The 17,029-nt window shown below is 47.5% G+C and overlaps 1 protein-coding gene across 2 annotated transcripts in view, besides 2 other annotated features; it reads right to left on the bottom strand.

Annotated features, from left to right (window-relative positions):
• UCK2 (uridine-cytidine kinase 2) overlaps window positions 1–17,029 on the bottom strand; it is an 84,005-nt gene that overhangs the window by 5,126 nt on the left and 61,850 nt on the right. For both annotated transcript variants that reach the window (NM_001363568.2, NM_012474.5), the window contains 5 exons: window positions 16,130–16,289; window positions 15,171–15,267; window positions 10,161–10,303; window positions 3,214–3,311; window positions 524–572 (listed from right to left, as the gene is read on the bottom strand). In NM_001363568.2, coding sequence (NP_001350497.1) covers window positions 524–572; window positions 3,214–3,311; window positions 10,161–10,303; window positions 15,171–15,267; window positions 16,130–16,289 — 547 coding nt within the window. The remainder of the gene's footprint in view (window positions 1–523; window positions 573–3,213; window positions 3,312–10,160; window positions 10,304–15,170; window positions 15,268–16,129; window positions 16,290–17,029) is intronic.
• Window positions 5,507–5,801: a silencer, noted in NCBI's record as "tiled region #10580; HepG2 Repressive DNase matched - State 5:Enh". NCBI's record gives its function as "represses a minimal TATA promoter and a strong SV40 promoter by Sharpr-MPRA in HepG2 cells {active_cell/tissue: HepG2}" and the evidence as "EXISTENCE:reporter gene assay evidence [ECO:0000049][PMID:27701403]".
• Window positions 6,773–7,972: an enhancer, noted in NCBI's record as "BRD4-independent group 4 enhancer chr1:165867758-165868957 (GRCh37/hg19 assembly coordinates)". NCBI's record gives its function as "activates an origin of replication core promoter dependent on BRD2, P300/CBP, MED14 and CDK7 cofactors, and independent of BRD4, by STARR-seq in HCT116 cells {active_cell/tissue: HCT116}" and the evidence as "EXISTENCE:reporter gene assay evidence [ECO:0000049][PMID:35650434]".

Here is a 17,029-nt window from a genome sequence, read left to right as displayed (position 1 = left end):
GGGAGGCTGGGCCCAGGAATTGGAGGCTGCAAATGAGCTGTGACTGTGCTACTGCACTTCCATCTTGGTGACAGAGCAAGACCTCGTCTCTAAAGTAAAATAAAATAAAATGAAAAATAAGTACAATAATGGTAGCAACCAGCTCCCTTTAGAAAGGGCTACCGTGATGGCAGGTCATTCTAAATTAGATCAAGGAGGGAATCTGCTTTTGCTAAAAGGTGGCCTCAGAAGCAAAGTACCCAAGTGTCATCATTGGGAAGTGATAGTAAAAGGTAATCTACAGCCCTCTATTCTGCCAGAGAAGCACAAGTGCATGTCTGTCCCCGTAACACATGGGTGCCTACACCCAGGGACCTGTTCCTGAGGCCAGACGTGTAGGTGGAAAGGTTCTGCTGGCTCACAATCACAGACAAGCAGGGCAGCCATGTCTGCAGAGCCCTGTAGGGTCACCACATCCTGCCCCAAATTATGACTGACAAAGGGCAGACATTATACTCCAGGATGACACTCTGCAGGGACTCACCCAGATTATCTGCACCTCTAGGGATGATCACATCAGCATACTTCTTTGTCTGTGGAGAAAGACAGTTAATATGCATTAATACAGTTAAGAGACAACTGGCCCGAGACCCTCTCCAAGGGAATATGGGGAAAGGGCAGCATTCATACTAGCGAGCCCAGAAGAGCACCTTTTAAGGCTTCAAATATAATATTGTTTACAACTTCACAGTGAATGCATCTATTAATAGAAATTTGGGGAAACCTAAGGAAGTGCCTTGTTTAGCTGAAATGTGAATGAAAGAAGATAAGCAGGGAATGAGGAAAATGAGAAAGAAGGATTGAAGACTTTCATGCATCAGTGAGGGAAAATGGTCCAGACTGAGTGGTTAATCCAAAACCAGTTCATAATTCGATTGATAACTATCTACCATGGATTTTTATCCACTTTATCTACATTACAAGAATTTAGCTTTTATTCAAATTCTCTCTCACTCTCTCTTTTTTTTTTAAGACAGCGTCTCACTCTGTCACCCAGGCTGGAGTGCAGCGGCATCATCACAGCTCACTGCAGCCTTGACTTCCTGAGTTGGGGAGATCATCCCACCTCAGCCTCCTGAGTAGCTGGGACTACAGGCACCCGCCACCACACCCAGCTAATTTTTGTTATTTTTTATAGAGAGGGGGTATCGCCATGTTGCCCAGGCTGGTCTCAAACTCCTGGGCTCAAGCGATCCACCCACCTGGGCCTCCCAAAGTCCCAGGATTACAGGCGTGAGCCACTGCACCCAACCAAGTTCTCATTTCTAACGCTGAACACTGTTTCAGCTTATGACCTATGCAGAGAACATGGTCTTTGAAGCCAAACACTTAATTGCCTCTATTCCACTAGGACAAATATGAACTAGAAAAACCCAAACTTTCCAGGGGACTGGTTCACCTTGGACTTTTACACATAGTCTGAAACATGACACTGTTCACTCCTAGCACAGGGTAAAACCAGAAAAAGTATTCTTCACTGATGACCAGTTCATAGGTTCTATTATTACCCAATTTTTAAAGAAAGAAAGTCAGGCCACAAAGAGGCATATTTCTTTTTTCTTTTTCTTTTTTGTTGGTCCAAATTTACTGAGATTTTGTAGACCATTCTACAAGTAACTGCATCCTGGCATACAAACTAAGTCTAGCATAAGAACACATAAACCACACCTCAAGCATGTGGGCATCTTACTCTGTGCAGCCTCTGCCCTAGGATTGCTGAAAGGCAACGGTGTCAGCCCCAAACCCAACTTGAACTGAGCAGACATTTATCAGGTCCAAGTTCCTGGCTTACAGGGGAATGAGCTGATCTTCCCTGAGCAAAGAGTGGCTGGACAGTGGAAGCAAGCAGAAATAACCCAGAAAACGTCTGCAGAATTTTTAGCTTTGTTACAACTAAGTTAAACGTAGAAAACTGACAGTTAAATATGACTGATATCCAATAATAAATTCATTTTGTGTTCTTATTAAGTCAAAAATAACAGGAGAGGTCCTCAGATAGATAACTGGGTGGAAAGAAGTTCACAGCTCCTCAGCCCCCTCTGGTCTCTTTCCAGTAACCTACTCTTGTAACTCAATAGTCTCCAGGGCAATGGATAGGGCATCAATGTTACTCAGTTGGCTCAAAAAGTCCACCTGTCCCGCATTTAAACCAAAGTCAAGTATGGGTTGCTGTAAAAGCTAGTAACATCCTTAAAGAAACAAAGACAGTTTGAGATATTTTCCCAGAAGAAAAAGAATGAAGTTTATTGTTAGAATAAATAGGGAAATTCCAATACCCAGCCTTACTCTAAATCTTCAATGTCTTCAGAGATTCCAGCCTTCCCAGTGTATCTCAACCAAGACCAGGTTAAGTCCCAAGCTCTTCCTTCCCTTCCTCCCGGTCTCAGAGCTTAACTATAAATAATTCAGGAGCCAGACCATGGTTTGGCCAAGCTGGAGAAGACTCATTGACTCAGTAGGATTCTCCTGAGTTAAATACTTCTCCTTCTGCAGCCCCAGCACACCACACCTCTTGTCTCTGGTAGCCTTCCCTCAACATGCCCCTTCCTGTCTTTCCTGGGCTGAGGGCCAACTCTCTGTGTTCTTCCTTCTCTGAAAGCCACCTCACTAGAGAATTCCTAGCTGCCACAGGAAGGACTGGTGAGTCTGCAAGGGTGAAGGGAAGGAAGCTTATTCCAGTAAGGCATGACAGTCTCCAAATGGGAGCTAAAGACAAGCTCAAAGCAGGGCTCAGTGGTGATGGCAGGAGAGGCTCAGAGGGGAACATCTCGGGGCACAGCACCCAGTGCATCCATACGTCACCCATTGCAGACCCTTCAGAGATCCAAATGGCTGAGGACTCTCCTTGGATATGATACACCCTCAGTAAACGGTCTCACACCATGACCCCACCAAGCAAGAAACCTAGAACTAGCTGGGAATTAAATGACCTGCCTAAGGACTGGCAGGACCCTACAGGGCTACCCAAAGAAAGAACAGCAGGACAGGGCTCCTGGAGAACACAGAGGACACAAGGACCAAGGGCTGCCCTCTCTTAGGACTTCAGGACAGAGGATCACTCAGAGAGAGGAGTGAGATTCAGGCAGGGGAGCTCCACAAACTTGCACACCTTCGTTTATATCATCAAATTTTAAATTCTACATTCAACAAAAACAAACCAAGAACACAACTCACTGGCAAGCAGAATTCCTCAAAGGCAGGCTTGACGAACGTAATGTACTGAGATAAAATCTGCTCAAGATCCCTGCCTCTCTCGCTGATGTCCCTTAATACTGTAAGAGAAGGGAAAACAAGAATCAAAAAACGGTGTAGGAGCCAGCACACACCCGCCCTTCATGGGGTGGACCTAGCTCCCACAGGCTCCACAATTACTCTAGATGATTCTCAAGCTGGAATCCTGAGAGGCTTGACCAAGAGCAGATCAGCAGCGGCTTCGGAAAAGACAAGTTACATTCTGACATCTTACAATGGTCAAACTTGGCAATGACACAATGCTCTTTGAAACAAAAGGCTGTCCATGGAGGCCAACAGCCTTCTTGTTTCAAGCAACATTTGCTCCAAACAAAATTTCAGTGTGAATTTTTTAAAAAAGCAGGGCACTCCTGGAGAGCTCACTGTTAACAAGAAGCAATCTGGGCCCCGAGAGGGCTGGGCTGCACGCTGCCTCCTTGCATGCACTTACCTGCGTTCAGAAGTCCAGCGACCCACTGATCAGGCATCAGCTCACTGCTCCCAGCTCCCACCCATGCCCCCTCTGCAGCATGGAGCCCAGGCCAGGCTGAGGACCCAGCCATGGTTAACCATTTCCACCTACCTCATGCACAGAGGTTTGCCAAAAAAAAAAAAAAAAAAAAAAAAAAATCACTCAGTGAAAGATAAGAAAACCATGGCCTAGAGAATGGTGGGCTGGGGCTGAGATGAAGCCCAAATTGACAACAAACTCACCATCTTCTGTCTTCTACCTTCTTCCCCCGGTCAGTTTTATCCAGGGGCTTTTACCATTCTTTTTTTTTTTTCTTTAAAAAATTTTTTTTTCTTTTAATACAAGGTGTCTTGCTCTGTCACACAGGTTGTAGTGCAGTAGCACAGTCATAGCTCACTACAGCCTCAACCTCCTGGGCTTGAGCAAGTGATCCTCCCACCTCAACTTCCCAAGTAGCTGGGACTACAGGCACACACCACCTCAATGGACTAATTTTTTGTTTGTTTGTTTTTGAGACAGAGTCTCATCACTCTGTCACCCAGGCTGGAGTGCAGTGGCGCGATCTCAGCTCACTACAACCTCTGCCTCTGGGGTTCAAGCGATTCTCCTGCCTCAGCCTCCCGAGTAGCTGAGACTACAGGCACCTGCCACCACGCCTGGCTAATTTTTTGTATTTTTAGTAGAGATGGGGGTTTCACCGTGTTAGCCAGGATGGTCTCGATCTCCTGACTTCCTGATCCACCCGCCTCAGCCTCCCAAAGTGCTGGGAATTACAGGTGTGAGCCTTTTTTTTTTTTTTTTTTGGTAGACACGGGGTCTTGCTTTGTTGCCCAGGCTAGTCTTGAATTCTTGGGCTCAAGTGATCCTTCTGCCTCGGCCTCCCAAAGTGCTGGAATTATAGGCAGCCCATACACTCTTTATTAAATAGAGTCTTCTGTCAATAAATAGAAAGAAGACTGATCACCCTCATTCTGCCGCTGTACATGAGCCTTAGTTTCCCCATGAGTAGGGAGTTTGGAAGTAGATTCTCTTAATTAAAACTGCCTCTCTTTGCAGATGTCATTTTAAATGCTATCTTAATCTAACCTTATCATCTGAGCTGCTAAATCTTTCACCCCAAAAAGTTACCACATCCATCTACAATCATTTGCAGTGGCTCTTCAGCTCCTTCCCAACCATTTCTCAGTAAATAGACTCAAATGTTGGGTGAAACTCACTGTAAACGAACATGGGGTATATCTGTGACGGAACTTCTGAAAGCCATTTGTCTAAATAATTCTGTCTTTATACACACATGCACAGGTGCATGCACAGAGAGGCCAGGGAACGGGGAGGCTGTCATGGCTATGATCCAGGCTGACAGGAAATCTATAAGATGAGAAGGTGAGAAAACTGTCAGGAAATCCACATTTCCAGAAAGCTGGGCACTAATGATGCTGCCATTCGACTTTTGTAACAGCTCCTCGATTTACGAAGTGTTTTCTCCATGGGAGACCTGGTAATAAAACAGTTGGCTGATCGCTAATGTGTCAGGACTTGCCCACCCAGCCCAGCAGCAGCCTTCTCCAGCCAGGAAATGGTTTTCCCCACCCCTGCAACGCTGGACCTGGGCTCCTGCTGCCGACCTGCTGCTCTGGCAGATCTGCTGGGAGACTCGCTAAGAAGGAGCCCTAAGGAGCTGCCACGTGGCTCACCCCCCAGAAGTCCCCAGAGCTCCGGCACACATGGCTAACCAGAGTAGCACCGCCAAAACACACAGCCAGCGCGGCCTCCAATTCTTCACACGTCTCCAGATAAAGCCCAAAGAAAAAAGGAAACCAGATCAAAAGGGTATCAGAGCTAGGGAAAAAACAAACACACCCGTGCTTGGGCAGCTTTTACTTAAAGCCCTGCAAACGCCTGATGCTGGATTGTTTTGCAACACATGCTTTTCATACAATTGCTGAAGGCTTTAGCACTGGAGGAAGCTTTGTCCTTCTCCCAGCACACACACACACACACGTGCACACACACAAACACACATGCACACAAACGCACGCACGCACACACAGTGCACGTCCACACCCTGTCACGTAGTCCTCCTAACTGCCCTCAGCCTGGGCCTTCAGCCCCCTTCCTTCTGTAGATCTGGTGGCTTCAGCTGTTTTGTCACTGGAGAGAGGAAACTGGTCGTGCAGAAAGTAGGAGGAGGAGGTAAATCACAGTGAAGCTGCTCTGTAGCCCAAAAGCTGCTTCTTGTTCTACCTCTATGGGCTCTGGGGGGAAAACTGCCCTGGACCTGAATCCTAACCCCAATAACTCCTACCTCTGTGAACTTCGACAAGTGACTTTAACCTCTTTGAATCTTAAGTTCCTTAACTATAAAACAGGGACAATAATGGTACCTTCCTCATACAGTTACTATTCAGGAATACAGAGATGTGCATAAAACTCTTCAGCACCATAGCTGGCACCTTAGCACATGTTCAATAAGCATGTGTTCTATGATGATTACGACCACAACAGAACCTGAGGACGCGTTGGGAGGGCAGTGCCTCCCTGACAGAGCAGCTCAACACCGTGGGAGCGCGGGAACCTCGAATTCAGGTAAGCAGGTCAGACCCAGCTGAGCGGGGGCAGCAAAGGGAAAAAGGAGTCCCGCAGGGCAGCTGGAAAGGCAGGTTGCCACGCGGGAAGGGAGAGCAGGACACAAGCACATAGGACAACATACGTGAGGAAGGAAAAAAAGCAAGGAAGATAGGGAATAGTCCCACTACAGCTTCCACGCTGGAAAAGCAAATGGGGAATGGGTCAGAATGTTGCCCAGACACTGGGAACATGCAACATCATAAGGCCTTGCCCACCTCTGCTCCCCAAGAACCTCCGATAGAACTATCACCTCAGGCAGACTGTGCCTCCCTGAGCCAAGGACAACAGAGGGCCAGCCAGTTCCCTGCACTGAAAGGCCCTTCTCCTCAGGCAGAGTCAGGAAACAGGGCCGCGCCAAGGACTGAGTCCAAACAAGGTCTTGGCACAACCTGGAAACCCCAGGGGCTCAAAACCAGCCCCTCCATCACTGCTCTGACCCCAGCACATTTGCTGGGCCAGGACAGGCCTTTTCAGAGGACAGGGTACAGGGCAGGAAGCTACAAGTCTGCCCACATTCCCTGCTGGGCTTCCACGTCAGCCCTTCCAAACCCAGACTTGCTCTTTCTGGTTAGCCAAAAGCCAAGAAAGAAACTTAGAGGGACCCAAAATAAAGATAATTCCTCAATGGTGAAGTCAATCACTTTAAAAATCTGATGAGGAAATGTGCTACTCTATAGTAAAAGAATGGGCTGAATCCCCCAAGGCCCAGTGCAGCCCTAATTCTATGAGAACCAGAGAATGATGGATGAGGAAGATGAGGGGTCAGCCATCCTGAATCTCCCTGCCCCACCTCCTCCCTGTCCCCGTATTCAGAGCTGGGTGGTGGTAAAGAGCACAGAGGGAATATGAAGGCAAATGAGGCTAGAAACCAATCCCGAGAAGATCAAGGGTTTCCATCAGGAAGGAGGTAGTTTCCAGGGCTGCTTCACTCAAACACAGATCTCTCTCCCACATGAGGGTCAACTCAGAATCTGGAGGTCACATGCCCAGGAGGGTGTGACAGATGGGTAAAATCATGGAGCTAACTCAAGTCTCCAGGAATGTTCAAGCTCACTCAACAGCTGCTTCTGACTAACCAGCCTCCCTACCCCAGCACCCCCGCACTCCACAAAGCACATGCCAAGCATGTTTTTTGTCCTACGTGGAGAGAGAATGAATTTGTAGAAATAGCATGCAGAAAAGTCCCATGAATCCATCAGGAAAGTGACTCGGCAGTAGGTGACATGTGAAGTTAGCAGATCTGAAATGAGAAAGCAGAGCCCTGCCCAGGCAGCCTGTTCAGAGAAGGCGGAGAGGCAGAGCTGGCCCTAAGAAACCCCCAGAGGGCCAGCACCATTGTAGGAATTGCTCCTATTTCACATAAGAATCCCATGCAAGAAAGGAAGGGAAAATGTTCTGTTGAAACCACACCGTGATGATCTGTTTGAATTAGACACTAGGATGCACTTTATTTCCAGCGTCTTGCTGCTGCTCAAAACTTGGTTCTAATCTCCTGTGCTGGTTCCTGCACTCCCTGCTGCGAGGCCTCCCTCGGCAGCACTGCATCCCTGAGACTGAGTACCACTGCTGGACTAGTGATGGCATCAGTCCGGGCATCACTAGCTCCTGAGGACATGACCGGAGCAGATCCCCTTGGAGGATCTAACCAGTCTTGTCAGAAAATTCAGAAAACGAACAGCACCGACCCCTTCAGCAGAAGCAGATTTCTGATCTGCCACATAGATATTTATTGACTAATGCACCACCAGGCATTTTACCTGCACTACCTCTCATCTTCACAACTATCCCAGAAGTACCAATCATAAGACCACATTCTAATAGGAAAATGAGATACAAAAAAGTTAAAACACAATTTGCCAATTTGCACAATTTGCCACACATCTAGTAAGTGGTAAAACCAGGATCTCAGCCCAATTCGCTGGACTCTAAAATTTATCTGTCCCTGTGTATCACACTGCCTCTCTAATTTGACAAGCTGACATGGACACTGAGCAGATCAACCAAAGCAGGGCCGGAGTTTGTGGATTAAGGTGACAAGCCAGGCCCTGGGGCAGAAGCATGAGGGGTTGTCAGGCTCAGGGTTCAATTATCTATCCAAAATGACCATGCAACTCTTACCCAGCCAGAGTCGTGACACTAAAAGCAGGCCTGTCTCCCCTGTATTATCCATAAAGAAACCCAAGCCGGGGTGTCGCAAGAGCCTAGTCACAAAGCTAGCTGGGAAGGGCTCTGCTAGAACTAAAAGTCTCCTCCCATTCCATTCTTTTTTCCATCACACAAAACTAACTGTCCCTCACCCCACCTGGGAGCAAGATGTAGCTCCCACTGACTTAATAGCATATGTATCTATTACTACTTAGAAGGGCAAAGCTCAGGACTTGTTTCTGTAGGTTCTACTGGTCTCATGAATAGTTCTTACAATTACGGTGCTAAATGGGATAAACTACAGATCTGTTTCATGAACCGAAAAGAGAAAATTACCCAGACTTTGAAGTCAGAGGGCCCTGGGATACAGCTTATAATATCTGAAACTGTCAATAATGTGTCCTGTGACTAGGAGCTAACCTCGTCATTTCCTGTGTCTCCCTGCCTCTGTCACACAACGGAGACTCAAACCTTCTCACCTTTCATTCCTCTATTCAGTCGCCTCCACCCACTGCCCTTGCTGGGTCCTGGTCGATTCTAACTCTGCTAATACTCTTCTCATCTCAACTCTGCTCCCTCTCCCACCCATCTAAGGACCACAGCCCTGCCTCTCGTCTAGATCAGCAGAGCAGTCTCCAAAGAGCTGCTCCAGCTACAGGCTTCACTTACATTTCCTTTGTCAGAACCAGTGTCCAACACAGAACAGTGGCCACTTCACTTGCCTCGCTCAGAACCTCACAGTGGCTCTCCCTTGCCCACCGAGAACCAGACTAGAGATCTCAGTCTCTAAAACCAGACCCCAACCTACTTTGTAGTGTCTCTTCGTACAACCCTCTGTACACTCCAGGTTCCTGCCACTCTCGGAACAAGCCACTGTCTGTACATCTCTGCCGTGCACCTTCATGGGTTGCCTATAGCGTCACCCTACCCCACCACATCCAAGTCCCAACCCTTCTTCCTCCATGAAGCCTCCCAATCTCTCCTGGTGGAAGCGAACTCTCTGCTGAATACCCTGTAGAGCTCAGTTCACAGGCTGGGCTCCTCTACCAAGGGGCACTGCTGTGCCTTCAGCACACAAGCACAGGGACTTAGCACAGGCAGGCCCACACTTAGTAGGGCCTGCGGAGGGCACAGCTGACTTCCCTCCTGAGCTGACTGGAAAGAGTGATAATGCCTCCATAAAGCCTGCTGGAAAATAAAGGGCTAGAGAAGCAGGCTAACAGGATGAGCTGCCCAGTACTTCAGGCACAGGGGATCCTATCCTCGGGGGTCCTACAGTTAGTTCCCCAAATCAGAGCATCTTCATTTTGATGTCTTATAAACAAATTGCAAGGAACTAAGCATTTAATCAAACTTTTCCAGGCAAAACCAGATGTCAGTGTCTTATTTAGTCTCTGTGACCTCACAAGCCTTTCGTTATCCCAAACAGTAAGTGACTAATCCCTTCTCAAATGTTACCAAGTGTCTGGGCAGCAGGATATCCTGGGGCTGGACTGACGCAGCCGGGCTGGACCATGCGACACACAGCTGCCTCAGGGAAGGCATGGGCTTCAGACTCAGGCGGGTGGGGTCCTGTCACAGGCTCCCAGCTCCCCCGCCCTCAAGGTGGCCACCAACAGGGCCACCTGAGGCTTTTAGAACGCACCTCTGCGTGAGAGCCGGGTGTCCGCATCTGTATCCACAAAAAGCTTCATCTGGAACAGGTCTCGTACCTCCTGGGAGTAGAAGGCCAGGATCCCTTCAAAGAGCACCACGTCTGCGGGATAGACAGTAACTGTCTCCTCCTTCCTGCAAAGCACAGAGCAGATAATGGGCCAAGCCAGGCAGGGGCTAGCAAGGGACAGAGAACAAGGGCCAGAACATCTGGCTGGGCTGGGTTCTGGGTTCCTTGCCCCCACAGACTTCAAGCGGGGGCTAAAGACTTGGCTAATATGGTCTTACAGAGCCCTCGGACCACCACCAAAGAGCCAAGGGTGATCACGGCCGGGACAAAGGTCTCCTTTGACCACTTCTGAGCTTTCACCATGAAACAGAAATACACGGCAGACATCCTTCTCCTTGGAATTAAAAAAACCTGCTGTTGAATGAAGAATAAAGGCAGACAAAAACAGATGTGATTTCTTTTTTTCTCTGAAGGCGTCTCCAGGAATGCTCTCATGGCCTGGCATTTATGGAACCTAACACTCTGAACTTTAAAAACAGAAACTCACAGTTTTCTCTCAACAACTCCATCCCCTCCCCGCCAGTCCTGAGGCAATTGAAAGGAGGGAGGAAAGGACAGAAGGGGAAGGGAAGGAGGGAAAATAAAGAAAAGTTTTGGGAAAGAGGATACAGACGAGAAAGCATTTGTGAGGAAGTACAGAATCCCGACGTCTGTCTGGTCTGGCTCTACCCCAAACCAACAAAGTGGCCACAGGTCAATCCTGAGCTCCCTAGAGCTGCTCTTCCTTATCAATAAAGCAGAAATATGCATGACCTCATCCACCCAACCCACATGGTTGGGTAGCCTAGGGCAGGCACTAATTGTAAACATGACTTTTCTTTCTTTTTCTTGTTTTTGGAGACAGGGTCTCACTTTGTCACCCAGGAGGCTGGAGTGCAGCGGCGCAATCTTGGACTCACTGCAGCCTCAACTTCCCAGGCTCAGGCGATCCTCCCGCCTCAGCCCCCTAAGTGTCTAGGACTACAGATGCACACCACCACCCCAGGCTAATTTTTGTATTTTTGGTAGAAACGGGGTTTTACCATATTGCCCAGGCTGGTCTATAACTCCTGGACTCATGCAACCCACCCACCTCAGCCTCCCAAAGTGCTAGGATTACAGGCATGAGCTACCAAGCTCAACCAACATGACTTTTCAAAAAGCAAGAAGGGTGAAACATTGCTAAACGGTTAGGCGACGGGCTGTCACAGATGGCCTTGCTTGTGCTCAGCTTTGCCTTGCTGCAGCTTTCACTGTGTTTTGTCTTTTGATTCTGTCCTATGCCCACCTTATATGTCACCAACTGCCTCTTGCTCAAAATTCACTGAAAATAGAGAAATAATCATCATTGCAAGGTTTCCACTCACCCTGACTAGCACACTGGCAAACCAAATAAAACAAAGTCTCTTAAAACAGTAGTTCCATCTGTGCAAACATAAGGAGGTCAGTATCAACGGCCAGCTCAAGAGGGTGCCGTTGGAACTCCTTCCCATAAACACTTCCTGATGCCTTCTCAGCTTGGACCAACAGGCTTGTGTCTGAGTTTTAAGGCAGGCACTGCTAGGGTAGCTAGCAAGTGGCAGAACGGGGCAGGGAAGACGGGAAAAAAGGACTAGGATTAGGAAATGCCCTAGAATTGTGGTGTATCTGAGATGCATATCAGAACCATCTGGGAAGCTTATAAAAATATCCCTACCTGGATCCTACCCCCAAGGAGCTCTGATTTAATGAGTCTGAAGTGGAGCTAGAACTTCAACACTATTTAGAAGCTCCCAAGATATTTCTAACATGCAGCCAGGGTAGAGAAGCACCAGTCTAGAGGAATGTCAGCTGCCAGAAAATGGTGTGCCCATTGTCATTGTGCATAAGAAGGCAACCTAGAGAAGTTCAGAAAACAGAACCAATGGGTAAGTGAAATAGTGAGCCACTCTCTAGGCAACTCCCCTACACCAAGGAGAGTGTGGGAAGGCTTTGTCCAAAAATAAAGTGAATGTATGTGCAAGAGTCCACTTGAACACACTAACAGAGAACACAATGGCTGCACTAAGTTTACATATCCAGGTTAAGTATCCCTTATATGAAATGCTTAGGTGTTTAGAATTTTTGAATTTTGGATTTTTTTCAGATTTTGGAATATCTGCATTATATTTAGGGCATCCCTAATATGGCAGGGGGAGAGAGGATCTACAATGAGCCTCCCTAACATGAAAATCCAAAATCTGAAATGCTCCAATGAGCATTTCCTTTGAACGTCACACTGGCACTCAAAAAGTTTCAGATTTTGGAGCATTTCACATTTTGGGTTTTTAGATTAGGGATGTTCAATCTGTACTGACACTAGATATTAAGAGCATTTTAGGATGCCTAACTGATAAATACTAAAAAGGAAAAGTGGTTTTCCTTCGGAAGGAGAAAATTAACTGCCTAATTTGTTGGTGGTGCCTTAAGAAGTTAGAATTAATCATTTCCCAAGTCCAAACGCAGGTCTAAAAACTGTCATAACAGCTCAGAGTTTTTAAAAAACAACAACAAATTTATTGAGCAACTACTAGCCCAGAATGTGCAAGGAGTCATACCTGGCATAATATACCACTTAGGAATTTAGAGTCTGGCTGGGAAGCCCCAGAAAGAAACTAGCCAATTAGATCATCTGAGATAACCCAGTCTAACCATCTCATTTGGCTTATGGGGAAAAGGATGCTCAGAGAAATGTAATTGCAACAAGTAAATGTCTTCTTCATTTTAGCCCAACAAATTTTTGTTTGTACCAAACGCCCATGGGTGGGATGGAATCAGTTAACCCTGAATGGCTCGATGTCCAATTAAGTGGCCCTTAAGATTTGCAAGGAGGTAGGAAAGGGGTGGATATGGGTCTAGGGTGATCAGTGAAAGTTTCTAAGACATGAGCTTTGAGCCACTAAAGGATAAGGTTTTAAAATATAAGGTATGAGATAAATCAGGAGGAAACGTGAAACATGTCTGCACTGGGAATTCTACCAGGATTTTCTTTTGTTGGCATATCAACTTGATGGAACTCATGATGCACGAGGTCTTCAACTTCCCTCCTCCACTCCTAGACTGCACTGGTCAGGCCCTGGCTCCTGTCAACCATGCTCAGTTCCACTGCTTTCTTTCAGGCCCTTATCAGACTCTCACTGGGGCTGTTCCAAAGGCTTCTTCACAAATGGCATTGCAGATCCTCTCTCCTCCTGCCACCACAATGACCTTTCCACTACAACAATAGACCCGTCTGTAGCTCCCTATTGCCAAAATGTCTGTGCTCCTGGCCCTGCCGCCTATGGCCCTTCATGACCTGAGGTCTGCCTGCCTTCCCACACACCCACTCCCATTCCTCCACACCTCTCCACTGCCATGCCCCAACCAAGCTGATCCATGCCTAGCTCTGAAATGCTTCCCTACCCAGCACCTTGGAAATCCCTTTCCCAAACAACTTCTTATCCTTTCCTATCTAAAGCTTAAATATCACCTCCTCCATACAACCTGCTCTGAATCCCCTGCTCTTCCTCCCTCCTTTACATTCTTCTGCAGGCCCTTGCCTTAGCCATCATGCTGCATTTTAATTCTTTACTTGGGAAGTGGTGGGCTGGAATGTCTCTTGTCAACGTGACACCACCACCACTTCCCCCTAAGGGAGAACTACAATTCTCAGAATCCCTTGCCCCACATGCTTCCAGGTTACTACGCCAACAAGAGACTTCGAAGGTGAGAGTGAAGCAAAATCCACAATATTCAGGAGATCATAATACTGAGACAGGGAAACTTTGCAAACAGTCCATAAGCTCCCAGATTGAGGCTGCAAACCCAGACATGGTGGTTTCTTGGACTTTTCCATGAACCCCAGCTTCTGCTCCAGTGCCTCAGGCTAGAGTCAGTGGGGACTATTTTGTCTGATTCTCTGACTATAAACTTCCAGGCCTTCACTCTCCCAGCCTTGATGTTCGTGTAAGCTCCAAATCCTATACGAAATGCCTTCATTCATTCCTCCATGATCTGCAGTGGTTGGGTTAGGAAAACAGAGTGACACGGGAGGCGTGAGGATGGTATCCTGATCTTTCACTCTCCTCTCTCCTACACAGAAGAACCTGGCCCATAGAAGGAAGTGTTTCAGAAGATTCTGGTGAGGCATGGAGGTAAGCACCAAAACAGCCCCCTCTACACCTCAACGCACACACATGCATGCTCATTCTCTCTCTCTCTCTCTCTCATCTTCCTCCTGCAACCAAATCGTCACCATGCTCTCTAGTTCAGACTCATGGGAAGATGTGTGTGTTCTACATTCAGGTCTGAGACGCTCTGAAGGAGCCTGGGGTCTGGCCAGCAGGAGTGCAATCTTCTAGGAGCCCATTCCCATCACTCAAAGGGAAGGAGGATGAGGTGGAAGTGTGGCCACTCCTCTATTCCTAATCAGGAGCACTAAAATTGAGGCTTCACTGGAAAGGACTGGTTTGATTCCACTGAGAAGCTTTCTGGAGGGCTTGGTTAATTCTGAGATCACGATCTGGTGACCTCATGCCTCTCCACATTGTCCAATCCCAAGTAAACCAGGACAGCAGAAAAAACAGTTTTCTTTGCTCTTCTTCCTGCCCTTCCTCTACCCCTCCCCTTACATCTTGTTCCAGGAACAGCAGCACTGGAATGTGGATCAGAATGCACATGCAGTCCCTCAAGCTGAAATCACTATCCCATCCTTCAGAGTTAAGGAATCGTGACAACAGGACTGTTCCAGGGAGCGCTCAGATGAACTCCCCAACCTCTACAATCCCACAGCACACACTGCTGCCACCACCCACTCCACTGACCAGCTGGAATGGCATTAGGCAGGGGTAGGACAGAGGTCTGAAGTGCGAGAGGTAAGGAAGGAGGTCTCAGTGCAGACCAGGGATGCTCTGCGGAGCAGTGGGTGCCATCCCTGGCCCAGAACAGCTCACTTACCGGGAATGGGAGACAAAGTCATACACGGGGATCTGGACTGTTTTCCCTTCAGTGATTTCTTTGAGTGTTTTGAGAATGAGTTCATTGTCAAAGGCATCTGAAAAATACCAAATTGTTAAAATGTTTCTTAATTTTAAAATAGGATCTCCTATAATCATACACAAGGCATCCTCATAAACATGTATATGGGCACATCACACTTTAAAGGTAATCATACTGCTCCCTAAAAAGCTGGATTTTTACCCAAAGCAGAATGGATGCTCCCTGTATCTCAAAATAGGGTGTATAAATGAGTTCTGACAAATAGATTTCTTTTTTCTCTCCTTTGACATTCCATCCCTGACTTCAGTCAGTTCTTTCCCCTCTCCAAGTTTAGCTGTTATCATCCTAGGATTGGCACATGCTAAACTGACCTGGAAAGCAAACCCATGACTGGGGGAGTACACACAATAGGCACCATGCCCAGGTTTGCTTCTAACAATTATAAGAAACCCAAGCCAGCTAAAGGAGCAGTGTGCTGATCTAGGGCTGTAGGGCAAAAACCACTCTGGCAGCCACCCTGCCCCTCCATCTCCCTCTCTGCCAGACAGTGGGTTGAACACACATGTACACCTGAGGAGGAGGGTCTGACGAGGGCTGCCTCAGATCAGAGGCAGCAGGACTAGCTCTGTATGTTCGACCTCATGTCTGGCCCATCTTGAGTCCCAGGCTCATACAAAATCACCTTTGTTCAGATACAGATTCAATCAGTATTTAATGAGCCAAGCACTACTTGAAGCATTTGAAAATTCCTTCTTTCACATAAGCCCCACAATAACACTGCAAGGTAGTTATCAAGTCCCTACGTTCTAGATAGAAACAAGATTCCGAGAGGTTAAGCAACTTCCTCATGAGCAAAATAAAACTATTCCCCCCAACACACCAATACAGATACATACCCCCTTCAATGCCCGACTCACCCGGGTGGTCAAAGTTGAACTGGCCCTTCAGGGCTTTGGCCTTCTGCTCCGAGGTAAGGACACGGTAGAAGCTATCCTGGCTCAGGATGACCACCTGCTTCTGGCGATAGTCCACCTCATTCTGCCCCAGGAGCTGCACGATCTTAGCACACACGGAAGACTGTGAGGAGAGAAGAGAGCACCCAGGAATAAGAGAAAGGGCACGTGTGGTACAGAGGAAGTCCCGAGAGTAACCAAGCTGATGCACACCTTCCAAGAAGGGGCTCTGGAAGGAAGAATCCAAAGGCAGCTATCGTGCATGATGAGTTAAAGGGCTAAGGGATGCAGCCATAAAAAGAATAAGATCACGTCTCATGTGGGAACATGGATGGAGCTAGAGGACACTATCCTTAGCAAACTAACACAGGAACAGAAAACCAAATACTGCATGTTCCCACTTGTAAGTGGGAGCTAAATGATGAGAATGCATGGACACAGGGAGGGGAACAACACACACTGGGGCCTGCTGGAGGTGGCGGGTGGGAGGAAGCAGAGGATAAGGAAAAATAACTAATGGGTACTAGGCTTAATACCTGGGTGATGAAATAATCTGTATAACAAACCTCTGTGACACAAGTTTACCTATGTAACAAACCCCTGAACTTAAAAGTTAAATTAAAAAAAAAAAAAAAAAAAGGCTAACGGAGAAGAGTCCGCCTTACACGCCTGTGACAGAGAAGTCTTAGGATCCCCAAAGTTCCTTCCTCCCTTCCCTTAACACAGCTTACTACTGTCAGGTACTTGCAGTGATGGTGGGGGAAGGAGGGCAGCACACACCACCTCCTCCTCCAGAAGAGCCTTTCCCAGAGCCACTGATAAAGGTAGGGCTACCTGATCCTGTCTGCTTGTGCCCTGGTATAG

The sequence above is a fragment of the Homo sapiens genome, chromosome 1, assembly GCF_000001405.40.
Source record: "Homo sapiens chromosome 1, GRCh38.p14 Primary Assembly".
NCBI lineage: Eukaryota > Metazoa > Chordata > Mammalia > Primates > Hominidae > Homo > Homo sapiens.
The sequence above is the reverse complement of the archived record's forward strand: the minus strand, read 5'-3'. Positions and strand labels throughout refer to the sequence as shown.